The 16,153-nt window shown below is 39.8% G+C and overlaps 1 protein-coding gene across 5 annotated transcripts in view, besides 1 other annotated feature; it reads left to right on the top strand.

Annotated features, from left to right (window-relative positions):
* MYO1D (myosin ID) overlaps positions 1 to 16,153 on the top strand; it is a 384,603-nt gene that overhangs the window by 186,606 nt on the left and 181,844 nt on the right. The window lies entirely within an intron of this gene.
* Positions 6,537 to 7,158: an enhancer, noted in NCBI's record as "NANOG-H3K27ac-H3K4me1 hESC enhancer chr17:31010379-31011000 (GRCh37/hg19 assembly coordinates)". NCBI's record gives its function as "activates a minimal SCP1, AML or CMV promoter by ChIP-STARR-seq in primed H9 embryonic stem cells {active_cell/tissue: H9 hESC(primed)}" and the evidence as "EXISTENCE:reporter gene assay evidence [ECO:0000049][PMID:30033119]".

Here is a 16,153-nt window from a genome sequence, read left to right as displayed (position 1 = left end):
TCCAAACCATGTCAGATGCCGACACATAAAAATGATAAACACTCGGTCAGGTGCTGTGGCTCACACCTGTAATCCCAGTACTTTGGGAGGCCGGGTCAGGCAGATTGCCTGAGCTCAGGAGTTCGCGACCAGCCTGGGCAACACAGTGAAACCCTGTCTCTACTAAAATACAAAAAATTAGCTGGTGTGGTGGCGTGTGCCTGTAGTCCTAGCTACTTGGGAGGCAGAGGCAGGAGAATTGCTTGAGCCCGGGAGGTGCAGTGAGCCAAGATCGCGCCACTGCACTCCAGCCGGGATGACAGAGCAAGACTCCATCTCAAAAAAAAAAAAAAAGATAAACACTCAAGGGAACGGATACCCCAAATACCCCAACTTGATCTTTATACATTCTATGTATGTAACAGACACTCACACATAACCTATATATAAGTAAAAAATATATCAGGAAAACAGTTATATAAGTTATGATGTATCTATACAATAGAAAACTATGGGCCAGGCGCAGTAGCTTATGCCTATAATCCCAACACTTTGGGAGACTGTGGCGGGTGGATAACCTGAGGTCAGGAGTTCAAGGCCAGCCTGACCAACGTGGTGAAACCCCATCTCTACTAAAAATACAAAAATTAAAAATTAGCTGGGTGTGGTGGTGGGCACATGTAATCCCAGCTACTCGGGAGGCTGAGGCAGGAGAATTGCTTGAACCCAGGAGGCAGAGGTTGCAGTGAGCTGAGATCGTGCTGCTGCACTCCAGCCTGGGCAACAGAGCGAGACTCCATCTCAAAAAAAAAAAGACAGGAAAACTATGCAGCCATTAATAATGACGATATTTTAACAAAATGAAGAGTGTTCTTCATAAATGTTAAGTGAAAATATATGTTACAAAACAGGATATTCAATGCGATTCCTCTTTAACCACATTGTTAATTCTGGAAATATCTACACACACACCCATTATATTTACTGAAGAGGACGTGATGAGTCATACTTTTGGTGGCTAGGCGGGCATCATTCGTAACTAAGGAAAATTAGGACTATTTTTATTCAGTAGTTTTTGTTAAAGTCTTAATGTTGTCAAACATCGCTATCTATTCAAACTTAGTACTATAATGAGCGTCAGTATTTTTAAGAAATTCAATTTCAAAATAAGATGTTTACTACTCAGCTGTCCTGAGTTGGTTGTATTGTATTTGTGTGGATAAGAAACCAAACACTCATAGAAAATATGTTGGTGACAAGTATCCTTGGGGAACTCAAAATATAATCAAGCATTTATAATTTAAATGCAGGTTTACAAACAAAGTACTGTATTCATGAGTTTATTGTACTTTAAATCGATTATAAACAACATATAACTATGATCACATTATTTCAGCCTAAAATTTTAAGTAACAGTTTTTATTATAAGGTAATACATGTTCATTGTGAAAGATTTTTAATTTAAAGAAGAGAATAATATTACCCATCATCTCACCACCAAAAGAAAATCACTGTTAACGTTTTGGGATATATCATTCCAGTCTTTGTTCTACTCTCTTACATGCACGCACACACAGACACATACACACATACACACACACACACACACACACACACACTTCAAAAATCAAAGAGACCATATGCACTGTAAATGAGTATTACCATTTGAAAATCAGCAGAACCGTGGTGATGGTTGTGGTACTCTGCCCCTAAACCACTTCTGTGTGATCTCCCAGGCTCCCTCCCTTGACTTGGATCTGCACAGCATCACAATCTTAGGTTTTATGGTGTTGTGTCTCCGTTCAAAAACCCTTCAATCACCCACAAAATTAAGACTAGACTTTCCCAGAGTCTGGCTCCAACCAACCACGTCTCCTGTGATGCCATAGCACGACATTGTTTGTTTTTACTGAACCCTCAAACATCTCTGCTTTTTCACCTGTATGTATACTTTTACACATACTGTTTGCCTTGCTTACAGTGTTCTTCAAGTTCGATTCTGCCTCCTCACTAAAGTCCTCCCAACCAGACCGCTGTAAATAAAGTCATCTTTACATCTTTGCCAGAACCCATTTGTCAGTTGTATGTGGCTGTATGAGACAGTGAGTCAAAGGGAAGCAGGAACAATGTGCCTGCTGTTAGTTTTATTGTAGGATTTACGTTCGTGTAAGGTTTTAGGTCATTCTCACTTCATTTGTCTGTAAAACAATAGGGATGGTGTGGGCATATCTATTATGATCAAGTGTGAAGTGTGTTGCAGGTAATTTTTTACTAAGGTTTTGAAGATTGTGAATCATTTTACAAGTAGGAGTTGATTCAAGGTTATTCCCATGGAATTTATACGTGCTTTCTTGAGTGGGCAAGGAAGGCAAATCTCAGGGATTGCACAGCTCCCAGAAAGGTGTTGCGCATATGAATGTTCCTCCCAAGCTATGCTATGGAAGAGGCGGGGCAGAGAACCTCTCAAATAGATGACTTATAAGGAGTCTTTAGCTCAGAAATTCCCGGTGGATTCTGTATTTTTTGTAGTCTTTAACCAGTGTTTAAATCTTAGATCATTTATTAATTTTGCAGATGTGTCTGATCTCTTCAGCTAGATTATAAATTATGGAGGGCAGCAGAATCCTTGTACTTGATTATGTTCCACAGAGGACTCCCAGCATCATGCCCTGTACCCAGTAGTCTTAGGTAACATTTCGTCAATAATGTACTTATCATGATTCAATACTAGGTAATAATTTGCTTCTGGATTTACAAGATTTCTTATTAGCTATGTTATGTATGAAAGCAAAGATATTTTTGAATATATAAGAGCTATTTATGTGCATTTAAATGAGATACTTTAGTAATACCAAGCAAATGGAGTAATCAGTAGGCCCTAGAGTTATTCCCAACTGGGCCAGGCACAGTGGCTCACGCCTGTAATCCCAGCACTTTGGGAGACTGAAGCAGGAAGATTGCTTGAGCCCAGGAATTCAAGACCAGCCTGGGCAACATGGTGAGATCCTGTCTCTACAAAAAATTTTAAAAATTAGCCAGGCGAGGCCAGGCACGGTGGCTCACACCTGTAATCCCAGCACTTTGGGAGGCCAAGGCGGGTGGATCATGAGGTCAGGAGATCGAGACCATCCTGGCTAACATGGTGAAACCCTGTCTCCACTGAAAAATACAAAAAATTAGCCGGGCGTGGTGGCAGGTGCCTGGAGTCCCAGCTACTTGGGAGGCTGAGGCAGGAGAATGGCGTGAACCCAGGAGGCGGAGCTTGCAGTGAGCTGAGATCGCGCCACTGCACTCCAGCCTGGGTGACAGAGTGAGACTCTGTCTCAGAAAAAAAAAAAAAAAAATTAGCCAGGCATGTTGGCCCTTGCCTGTGGTACTAGCTACTCAGGAGGCTGGGGTGCGGGCGGGGGGTAAGGGGGAAATAAAATAGTACCCACCTCATAGTATAGTTGTATTAAATAAGTTAATACATTTGACAGAATTTGAACACTTTGTAAGTACCTGTGTATTTAGTTTTTGTTCTTTGTTTTTTGGTGTGTGTGTGTGTGTGTGTGTGTGTGTGTGTGTGTGTGTGTTTTGAAACAGGATCTCACTCTTATCACCCTGGAGTGCAGTGGCACAATTATGGCACTGCAGCCTCAACTTCCAGGGCTCAAGCAATCCCTCCCGCTTTGAAACAGGGTCTCACTCTTATCACCCAGGCTGAAGTGCAGTAGTGTGATTATGGCTCACTGCAGCCTCAGCCTCTGGGGCTCAGGTGATCCCTCCTGCCTCAGCCTCCCAAGTAGCTGGGACTACAGGTGTGTACCACCACCTCAGCTATTGTTTTTATTTTTTGTACAGACAGGGTCTCACTTTATTGCCCAGGCTGATCTCGAACTCCTAGACTCAAATGATCCTCCTGTCTCAGCCTCCCAAAGTACTGGGATTACAGGCATGAGCCAATGAATGGTTTGGGTTTCCATTCATTGGAATAGTTAACTATTGTCACAGTTACATGACAGACCACCTGCGTTAGTGTCCTAAGGCTGCTGCAAAAAAAATTATCACAAACTTGGCAGCTTAAAACACAGAAATTTATTCTTTCACAGTTCTGGAGGAAGGTTTGAAATCAGTTTCACTGGGCCAAAATCAGAATGTCAACAGGACCACATTTCTTCCAAAGGTTACAGGGGAAAATCTATTCCTTGCTTCTCCCAGCTTCTGGTAGCTGCCAGCATCCCATGGCTTGTGGCTGCCTCCATGGTCACAGTGCCTTCTCTTCTGTTGTCATATTTTCCACTGCCTCTGTTTTACAAGGATATATATGATTGCATTTAAGGTCCAAACAGATAATCTGCCCATCTCAAAATCCTTAACTTAATCATATATGCAAAGTTTTTGTGTGTGTGTGTTTGTTTTTGTTTTTTTGTGTGTTTTTTTTCCCCCTTCCACAGATCTGTAGATGATGATAACTTAAAGCTGGTAACGTTCACAGAGATTTGCAGTTGGCTATTTTGGCTAATTTTTAAGGACCATTGTTCAGCCTACCACATCACTCTAAAACTTGGTGGATATAACAGTCAGAATTTATTTGTTGCTCATGCATCTAGGGTTTGGTCAATTTTGGCTCAGTTTATCCAATTTATATCGCATTGGCCAAAGCAGGTCATATCAATGGGATAACCCATGGAGGTCAAGAAGGCAGAAGTGAATATTTGCTCAACTATAATGTAACCGAGCATGGGGTTCTCTGTAGATGACAATAACTTAAAGCTAAGTTAGCAACGTACTTATTTGGGTGAAGAAGAAAATCCAGAATTAAAAGCAAAGTTATTTAGTAATAGGACAGTTTTCTATAGTTCTTATTTGATGGTTAAATCAAGGAGCTCTGTCTATTGTGGGCCTAGTCTGGCTAAATACATATATTCCTGAATCTAATAATCGTAGAAAACCTGTTCTAGGATTTTTTATTTAGGGGAAAAACCTCTACAGACATGGAAACTCCAGGACTCCTTTAGGCTACCTGCCATTATATAGTTAAACAGTGGATTCCATGGAGTTATGAAAAAGAAGCAAGGGTTTTCTGCCCCTTTGGAAGAACAGAATATCTGCTAGATAGCCTCTCAAGATGAGAAGTGAACCTGGAGATTGCTCACCAGCTGCTTTCTTGAAGCCAAAGCTATATTAATTACAGTATTTTCTCATGTCATCTTTGGCCTATGAGCTTGGGTATCTAGTTCATCTAAATAATCCAACCAAGAGTTGTTTCCTTACGCATTACTTGGAGTTAATTTGAGAACCAGTATACAATACTTGAGTTTGATAGAATTTCCCAGTCTAATTTTTTTTCTTCCCTCTCATTCCAATAATAGAGGAATTATATCATTCTCACAGGCCCAGTGAAAAAATGAATGACACACAGCGTTTATTGCTTTCTAGGTCTTGTTGACTTTAAGAGAGAGAATAAGGATGTGCACCTTTTCCCTGGTCACTTGATAAAATGCAGTGACATTGAGGTATTGACTTTTTTTTCCAAAAAAAAATGATAAAGAGAAATTTTCCATGAAAAAATCCTGTAACTAGAATGAATAGGGAAGCCGGAACTTAATTTAGAACATCCACATTTTCATACTCTAACAGAACCAGCTGATTTAAGATGAAGAGTTTGTATTTTCAGTGAAATTTTTATGTAAAAGGAAAATTCATTGAAAATCAGACATTTTCATGCATCAAGTTGTTCATTGGCAAATTGGCAGCAGTTTTTCAAGTTGATGCTTATTCATGCTAGTCTGCTGTAGAACCATCAACCGTCAACAGTGAATTTGAAATTCTCTTCAGACTTGAGAAAATACATGACAGCTGCCATGTATTTTCTTCCTTGAATGTTTCATAGTTTGCTTGGCTCATCCTCACAGTTGTGTAATAGGATGGGCTGTTTCTTTTTAGTGCTCTTATACCCTAAGGTTACTGAGCCCTTGGATGTAACACTTCCACAGGGCCTTTTTACAGATCAGCGAGTCTTTAAACTTCAAATAAAGATATTTAGTCTATTCAAGCCAGTAATCATTCCTTCAGCAAATGTGTTTATTGCTAGGTACTCTTTGGAAATACAGGAATAAATAAAATGAAAATAGTCCTTGTCCTCATGGATTACACATTCTAGTCACACAAAACATGAGTGAACACATAATTACAAATTGTGTAACAGTCATGAAGGAAAGAAAATGCTGAGCGAGGCAAGCATTCAGAGGACAAGGGAAATACATTTTTGGCTTTTAAAAAGATGGGGGAGGAGCCAAGATGGCCGAATAGGAACAGCTCCGGTCTACAGCTCCCAGCGTGAGCTACGCAGAACACGGGTGATTTCTGCATTTCCATCTGAGGTACCGGGTTCATCTCACTAGGGAGTGCCAGACAGTGGGCGCAGGCCAGTGGGTGCGCGCACCGTGTGCGAGCCGAAGCAGGGCGAGGCATTGCCTCACCTGGGAAGCGCAAGGGGTCAGGGAGTTCCCTTTCCGAGTCAAAGAAAGGGGTGACGGACGCACCTGGAAATCGGGTCACTCCCACCCGAATATTGCGCTTTTCAGGCCGGCTTAAAAAACGGCGCACCACGAGACTATATGCCACACCTGGCTCGGAGGGTCCTACGCCCACGGAGTCTCGCTGATTGCTAGCACAGCAGTCTGAGATCAAACTGCAAGGCGGCAACGAGGCTGGGGGAGGGGCGCCCGCCATTGCCCAGGCTTGCTTAGGTAAACAAAGCAGCCGGGAAGCTCCTGGGTGGAGCCCACCACAGTTCAAGGAGGCCTGCCTGCCACTGTAGGCTCCACCTCTGGGGGCAGGGCACAGACAAACAAAAAGACAGCAGTAACCTCTGCAGACTTAAATGTCCCTGTCTGACAGCTTTGAAGAGAGCAGTGGTTCTCCCAGCACGCAGCTGGAGATCTGAGAACCGGCAGACTGCCTCCTCAAGTGGGTCCCTGACCCCTGACCCCCGAGCAGCCTAACTGGGAGGCACCCCCCAGCAGGGGCACACTGACACCTCACACGGCAGGGTATTCCAACAGACCTGCAGCTGAGGGTCCTGTCTGTTAGAAGGAAAACTTAACAAACAGAAAGGACATCCACACCGAAAACCCATCTGTACATCACCATCATCAGAGACCAAAAGTAGATAAAACCACAAAGATGGGGAAAAAACAGAACAGAAAAACTGGAAACTCTAAAACACAGAGCGTCTCTCCTCCTCCAAAGGAACACAGTTCCTCACCAGCAACGGAACAAAGCTGGATGGAGAATGACTTTGACGAGCTGAGAGAAGAAGGCTTCAGACGATCAAATTACTCTAAGCTACGGGAGGACATTCAAACCAAAGGCAAAGAAGTTGAAAACTTTGAAAAAAATTTAGAAGAATGTATAACTAGAATAACCAATACAGAGAAGTGCTTAAAGGAGCTGATGGAGCTGAAAACCAAGGCTCGAGAACTACGTGAAGAATGCAGAAGCCTCAGGAGCCGATGCGATCAACTGGAAGAAAGGGTATCAGCGATGGAAGATGAAATGAATGAAATGAAGCGAGAAGGGAAGTTTAGAGAAAAAAGAATAAAAAGAAATGAGCAAAGCCTCCAAGAAATATGGGACTATGTGAAAAGACCAAATCTACGTCTGATTGGTGTACCTGAAAGTGATGGGGAGAATGGAACCAAGTTGGAAAACACTCTGCAGGATATTATCCAGGAGAACTTCCCCAATCTAGCAAGGCAGGCCAACGTTCAGATTCAGGAAATACAGAGAACGCCGCAAAGATACTCCTCGAGAAGAGCAACTCCAAGACACGTAATTGTCAGATTCACCAAAGTTGAAATGAAAAAAATGTTAAGGGCAGCCAGAGAGAAAGGTCGGGTTACCCTCAAAGGGAAGCCCATCAGACTAACAGCTGATCTCTCGGCAGAAACCCTACAAGCCAGAAGAGAGTGGGGGCCAATATTCAACATTCTTAAAAAAAAGAATTTTCAACCCGCAATTTCATATCCAGCCAAACTAAGCTTCATAAGTGAAGGAGAAATAAAATCCTTTACAGACAAGCAAATGCTGAGAGATTTTGTCACCACCAGGCCTGCCCTAAAAGAGCTCCTGAAGGAAGCACTAAACATGGAAAGGAACAACCGGTACCAGCCGCTGCAAAATCATGCCAAAATGTAAAGACCATCGAGACTAGGAAGAAACTGCATCAACTAACGAGCAAAATCATCAGCTAACATCATAATGACAGGATCAAATGCACACATAACAATATTAACTTTAAATGTAAATGGACTAAATGCTCCAATGAAAAGACACAGACTGGCAAATTGGATAAAGAGTCAAGACCCATCAGTGTGCTGTATTCAGGAAACCCATCTCACGTGCAGAGACACACATAGGCTCAAAATAAAAGGATGGAGGAAGATCTACCAAGCAAATGGAAAACAAAAAAAGGCAGGGGTTGCAATCCTAGTCTCTGATAAAACAGACTTTAAACCAACAAAGATCAAAAGAGACAAAGAAGGCCATTACATAATGGTAAAGGGATCAATTCAACAAGAAGAGCTAACTATCCTAAATATATATGCACCCAATACAGGAGCACCCAGATTCATAAAGCAAGTCCTGAGTGACCTACAAGGAGACTTAGACTCCCACACATTAATAATGGGAGACTTTAACACCCCACTGTCAACATTAGACAGATCAACGAGACAGAAAGTCAACAAGGATACCCAGGAATTGAACTCAGCTCTGCACCAAGCGGACCTAATAGACATCTACAGAACTCTCCAACCCAAATCAACAGAATATACATTTTTTTCAGCACCACACCACACCTATTCCAAAATTGACCACATAGTTGGAAGTAAAGCTCTCCTCAGCAAATGTAAAAGAACAGGAATTATAACAAACTTCTCTCAGACCACAGTGCAATCAAACTAGAACTCAGGATTAAGAATCCCACTCAAAGCCGCTCAACTACATGGAAACTGAACAACCTGCTCCTGAATGACTACTGGGTACATAACGAAATGAAGGCAGAAATAAAGATGTTCTTTGAAACCAACGAGAACAAAGACACAACATACCAGAATCTCTGGGATGCATTCAAAGCAGTGTGTAGAGGGAAATTTATAGCACTAAATGCCCACAAGAGAAAGCAGGAAAGATCCAAAATTGACACCCTAACATCACAATTAAAAGAACTAGAAAAGCAAGAGCAAGCACATTCAAAAGCTAGCAGAAGGCAAGAAATAACTAAAATCAGAGCAGAACTGAAGGAAATAGAGACATAAAAAACCCTTCGAAAAATCAATGAATCCAGGAGCTGGTTTTTTGAAAAGAGCAACAAAATTGATAGACCACTAGCAAGACTAATAAAGAAAAAAAGAGAGAAGAATCAAATAGACACAATAAAAAATGATAAAGGGGATATCACCACCAATCCCACAGAAATGCAAACTACCATCAGAGAATACTACAAACACCTCTACACAAATAAACTAGAAAATCTAGAAGAAATGGATAAATTCCTCGACACATACACTCTCCCAAGACTAAACCAGGAAGAAGTTGAATCTCTGAATAGACCAGTAACAGGATCTGAAATTGTGGCAATAATCAATAGTTTACCAACCAAAAAGAGTCCAGGACCAGATGGATTCACAGCCGAATTCTACCAGAGGTACAAGGAGGAACTGGTACCATTCCTTCTGAAATGATTCCAATCAATAGAAAAAGAGGGAATCCTCCCTAACTCATTTTATGAGGCCAGTATCATTCTGATACCAGAGACACAACCAAAAAAGAGAATTTTAGACCAATATCCTTGATGAACATTGATGCAAAAATCCTCAATAAAATACTGGCAAACCGAATCCAGCAGCACATCAAAAAGTTTATCCACCATGATCAAGTGGGCTTCATCCCTGGGATGCAAGGCTGGTTCAATATACGCAAATCAATAAATGTAATCCAGCATATAAACAGAGCCAAAGACAAAAACCACATGATTATCTCAATAGATGCAGAAAAAGCCTTTGACAAAATTCAACAACCCTTCATGCTAAAAACTCTCAATAAATTAGGTATTGATGGGACGTATTTCAAAATAATAAGAGCTATCTATGACAAACCCACAGCCAATATCATACTGAATGGGCAAAAACTGGAAGCATTCCCTTTGAAAACTGGCACAAGACAGGGATGCCCTCTCTCACCGCTCCTATTCAACATAGTGTTGGAAGTTCTGGCCAGGGCAATCAGGCAGGAGAAGGAAATAAAGGGTATTCAATTAGGAAAAGAGGAAGTCAAATTGTCCCTGTTTGCAGACGACATGATTGTTTATCTAGAAAACCCCATCGTCTCAGCCCAAAATCTCCTTAAGCTGATAAGCAACTTCAGCAAAGTCTCAGGATACAAAATCAATGTACAAAAATCACAAGCATTCTTATACACCAACAACAGACAAACAGAGAGCCAAATCATGAGTGAACTCCCATTCACAATTGCTTCAAAGAGAATAAAATACCTAGGAATCCAACTTACAAGGGATGTGAAGGACCTCTTCCAGGAGAACTACAAACCACTGCTCAAGGAAATAAAAGAGGATACAAACAAATGGAAGAACATTCCATGTTCATGGGTAGGAAGAATCAATATCGTGAAAATGGCCATACTGCCCAAGGTCATTTACAGATTCAATGCCATCCCCATCAAGCTACCAACGACTTTCTTCACAGAATTGGAAAAAACTACTTTAAAGTTCATATGGAACCAAAAAAGACCCCGCACTGCCAAGTCAATCCTAAGCCAAAAGAACAAAGCTGGAGGAATCACACTACCTGACTTCAAACTCTACTACAAGGCTACAGTAACCAAAACAGCATGGTACTGGTACCAAAACAGAGATATAGATCAATGGAACAGAATAGAGCCCTCAGAAATAACGCCACATACCTACAACTATCTGATCTTTGACAAACCTGAGAAAAACAAGCAATGGGGAAAGGATTCCCTATTTAATAAATGGTGCTGGGAAAACTGGCTAGCCATATGTAGGAAGCTGAAACTGGATCCCTTCCTTACACCTTATACAAAAATCAGTTCAAGATGGATTAAAGATTTAAACGTTAGACCTAAAACCATAAAAACCCTAGAAGAAAACCTAGGCATTACCATTCAGGACATAGGCGTGGGCAAGGACTTCATGTACAAAACACCAAAAGCAATGGCAACAAAAGACAAAATTGACAAATGGGATCTAATTAAACTAAAGAGCTTCTGCACAGCAAAAGAAACTACCATCAGAGTGAACAGGCAACCTACAAAATGGGAGAAAATTTTCGCAACCTACTCATCTGACAAAGGGCTAATATCCAGAATCTACATTGAACTCAAACAAATTTACAAGAAAAACACAAACAACCCCATCAAAAAGTGGGCGAAGGACATGAACAGACACTTCTCAAAAGAAGACATTTATGCAGCCAAAAAACACATGAAAAAATGCTCATCATCACTGGCCATCAGAGAAATGCAAATCAAAACCACAATGAGATGCCATCTCACACCAGTTAGAATGGCAATCATTAAAAAGTCAGGAAACAACAGGTGCTGGAGAGGATGTGGAGAAATAGGAACACTTTTACACTGTTGGTGGGACTGTAAAGTAGTTCAACCATTGTGGAAGTCAGTGTGGCAATTCCTCAGGGATCTAGAACTAGAAATACCATTTGACCCAGCCATCCCATTACTGGGTATATACCCAAATGACTATAAATCATGCTGCTATAAAGACACATGCACACGTATGTTTATTGCGGCATTATTCACAATAGCAAAGACTTGGAACCAACCCAAATGTCCAACAATGATAGACTGGATTAAGAAAATGTGGCATATATACACCATGGAATACTATGCAGCCATAAAAAATGATGAGTTCATGCCCTTTGTAGGGACATGGATGAAATTGGAAATCATCATTCTCAGTAAACTATCGCAAGAACAAAAAACCAAACACCGCATATTCTCACTCATAGGTGGGAATTGAACAATGAGATCACATGGACACAGGAAGGGGAATATCACACTCTGGGGACTGTGGTGGAGTGGGGGGAGGGGGGAGGGATAGCATCGGGAGATATACCTAATGCTAGATGACGAGTTAGTGGGTGCAGCGCACCAGCATGGCACATGTATGCATATGTAACTAACCTGCACAATGTGCACATGTACCCTAAAACGTAAAGTATAATAAAAGAAAAAAAAAAAGAAATATATTTTTGAGAGGATGGTCAGGGAAGACCTCTCTGAGGAGGTGCTATTAAGCTGGGACCTATAGATATGAAGGATTTAACCCTAGGAAAAGTTCAAAGAGGGAGAATTCAAGCCAGGAAATACATAAATAAGGAGGCTGTGAGAAAGAGCTTGAGCATTTGAAAGACCTTTTAAGCAGTTTCACCATAGTGTCCATCTTCTGTCACTTTTTGATGCTATTACACATCCATTTCTTCAAGGTTCAGTGCAGCAGGGTTTATGTCTATGCTGGAGTTTAGGTTTTGGTTTTCTGGAAGGACACCTGGAGGGCGGCTATAGAGGAGTTCCATGAAATATTGATCATAAGCCAGTTGAGATGAATTAAAAAAGACAAAAAAGAAGGGCAGATTTTGATGATCCTAAAATATTTCCATGGTTCACATACAGAAATAACTGTTTAGGCAGCCTAATGCTTGTGTTCGTTTGAAAAGCAGTCTTGATTTGTTTTCTGAAATCAAGACATGCATTTCTGACTTCGAATGAAACCACTCATTTATTATGACATATATTAAAAACTATACCGTATGCCCTTTTCATCATACTTTATGCCTTTTGCAATCAAGTAATGTATTTATATGTCTGTGTGCATATATATATATATATATATATATATATATATATATATATATTTATCTATCTATATATCCCCTGATGACTTCCCAGTGACTTTTTACACCTCTGTTTCAGAGGAGATATATAAAGATTTCAAATATTAACCCTTCTTATTGCCTGACCAGGTGCTGACCTAGATTCACACCACTCACATGGAACATTTCTCCTGCCATCTTCATCATCTGTAGCCAAAAACTTGTTTGTATTTCAAAGAATCCAGAGCTTTAGTGGGCATTTCACACATTTTTAATTATGGATAATCTACTGGAATAGGCAGAATCTGCTGCCATTCATGGAGTGATTATAAAATAAAGGCTCTCTGCTCATTATGATTCAATTCCCCTAATGTTTTAACAAAAACATAAATTAATTGTATGGGCATGTAATTGATTTTAAAGTAGGGAAGGCCTTTCTAACTATAGCAGCAGTAAAAGAATTCACAAAGGCAAAGTTTGCTAGATATTCCTGCGTAAAAATTTAAAACTTCTGGCCGGGCACGGTGGCTCACACCTGTAATCCTAGCACTTTGGGAGGCCGAAGCGGGCAGATCACGAAGTCAGGAGATCAAGACCATCCTGGCTAACACAGTGAAACCCCATCTCTACTAAAAATACAAAAAATTAGCCGGGCATGGTGGTGGGCGCCTGTAGTCCCAGCCACTCAGGAGGCTGAGGCAGGAGAATGGCGTGAACCTGGGAGGTGGAGCTTGCAGTGAGCCAAGATAGCGCCACTGCACTCCAGTCTGGGCGACAGAGCAAGACTCCGTCTCAAAAAAAAAAAAAATTCTATTTTTCATAAAACATCATTGTATCACAATATGTTTAGTTGCAAATACAGAAAATGCAATTCAAACTGGCATAGAGAGTAACAGATTTATTTCACAGAACATGAAACCTCTATTCAGCCGTCTCTTGGGTCGTCTTCCTTCTAAGTCTGGCTCCCCCTTGTGGTTGTGAGGTGGCGGCTAACAATTTCAGCCGCCACAGGTTCTAGGTTCAGGGAGAGTCGCCTCTAGAAGTCCCTTGGACATTCTCTCAGACAGGAGAGAACGTTTTTCTCTGAAACACCTAGCAAAATTCCTCCTGTTTCATTGACCTGAACCAGTAACCATGGCCAGGAAATGATAAAAGGCAAAATGCTAAGAAATCTTTGTAAATGTAATAAAAAGTTTATTTTCATATACAAAAAGCCCTTACAGATCATTATGTAAAGTAATGAACATGTTATGGACAAAAAAAAAAAAAAATAGAGAAACAATTCACAAAAGAAAAAATCTAAATAGCTAATGAATTTTTAAAAGTTGAATAACCCTAATTAAAGCAGTTTAATCGGAGCTACATTATCCCATCAATTTATTTAATTCTTTTAAACTATTTATATGGTAGATTTTGGAAATGAGGGCTTTAATGTGTGGCAGCCGAAAATACAAAGGGATTACAACAGCAATTCTGTTTTGAGAACTTTGCCATGAATCATTCATGTGCTTGAATTTATGTACAAGGATACTACTAAAATGTTACTGCATATATCACTCCAAAAAAAAGAGAAAACATCAGAAATATCTCACAATAGGGGATTGGTTAACTGAATTTCATATTTGAGTACTGCAAGGATGCTTAGAATCACATCATAGGAGGATATTTGATCACATGGGAAAATATTTCTGATATATCAAGTAAAACACATTGCAAGGCATTGTATGATTCTGTATAGTTTTGTATAAAAATGTACACAGGCATAAAAGAAAAATGAGTACATTTGACTACATAAAACTTTTTTAAAAACAACCTCTGTATGGCAGTATACCATAAACAGTATCAAGAGATCATCAACATACTGAAAACAAAACACCAGTGACAAAAGGATGGTTCACTTAATTTATGAAGAATTCATACAAATTAATAAAATAGAAACCCAAAGAAAATGGATAAAAGATAGAAATACACAGTTCACCAAAAGAATTACAAATTACTAAGAAGATATAAATTTATTTTTAAAATAATAGATTCAACAGTAATAGATGTTGATTGAAAAATTAATCATATTCCTGTTGACATTTATTTAAAATGTGTTCTGACTTGATTGTTATTATATAACTCAATTAAGAAACCTCAATTTTCAAATACTGTGTTATAAAACATTTAGGAAGAAATAGATGAGGTAATACAAGCACAAGATTATGTTTCTGGTAGGTATGATACTTTATCAGTGATAGATAGTTACAGTTATATGTACAAGTTGAATGTAACATGATTAATTAATTATGAAGACCATATAAAACTTCAACATCACAGGAGTATATCCAGCATTCTACTTTATCTAGGTTTTTCTCTATAACAGTGACATTTATTTCTGTGTCACATTATTCCAACATGAGCTACTCATTACTGTGATCATTTCTGATACCCACTGTTATGATAAACCATGCACCCAAATAACACAGTTGTATTCCCTTAGCAATATATTTTTTCTTCTTGTAATTGAGTTATGACCAGTAACAGTCTTCATAGTTAATTGTGTTATGTTCAACTTGCATTATGTAAACTTGTACTGTTGAAAAAGTATGTCCTTAATAAATATACATTGTCTTATCCTGTCATTCCCCCTTCTATCAATTACAGTCTAAGACAGGAAAATGAAAAAGAAGTATGTTTGATGTTTACCCTAAGTAAATGGGAGCCTTTTCCAGATTATTCCCTTCCCTGCAACATTCTAAAATCCCCTTTGAGGAAGCATCTTCGCCCAGTATCTCTGTTATAGTGAGCACTGGAAACTGATGTATTTTGGGATGCAGGGCTGCATTGAAGAGCACTGGTTAATGCCTACAACAAGAGCCAGGCTACTAGCAAAAACTGGAAACATGGATTACGTTTCTCTGTAGAAGCAGACTTCATAGGGCTGAAAAATGACTGTTTCCCAAAACCAAGCATTTGCCAGCAAGAAAATATTATATATGACTTAAAGAAGCTTGTGTCAAATATATTTTCTGCTTTTTATGGTGAATTATTAGTAAGAAACATACAGCAGCACAGTACAAACAAATGTCAAGAATAAGTACTTTAAAAAAAAAACCTATTCTTAATGTATGTCAAGTGTCTAGGACAAGGCATGGCACATACCAGTAAAACGATGTGTTCTCTCCCTTCTCTTGGGGTAATACCAGTCATCAGATGAAAATCAAATATAGTGTTTATCAGTTCCATGTCTACTTTGGAACAGAAAAAAACTTTGC

The sequence above is a fragment of the Homo sapiens genome, chromosome 17, assembly GCF_000001405.40.
Source record: "Homo sapiens chromosome 17, GRCh38.p14 Primary Assembly".
NCBI classification, from domain to species: Eukaryota; Metazoa; Chordata; class Mammalia; order Primates; family Hominidae; genus Homo; species Homo sapiens.
The sequence above is the reverse complement of the archived record's forward strand: the minus strand, read 5'-3'. Positions and strand labels throughout refer to the sequence as shown.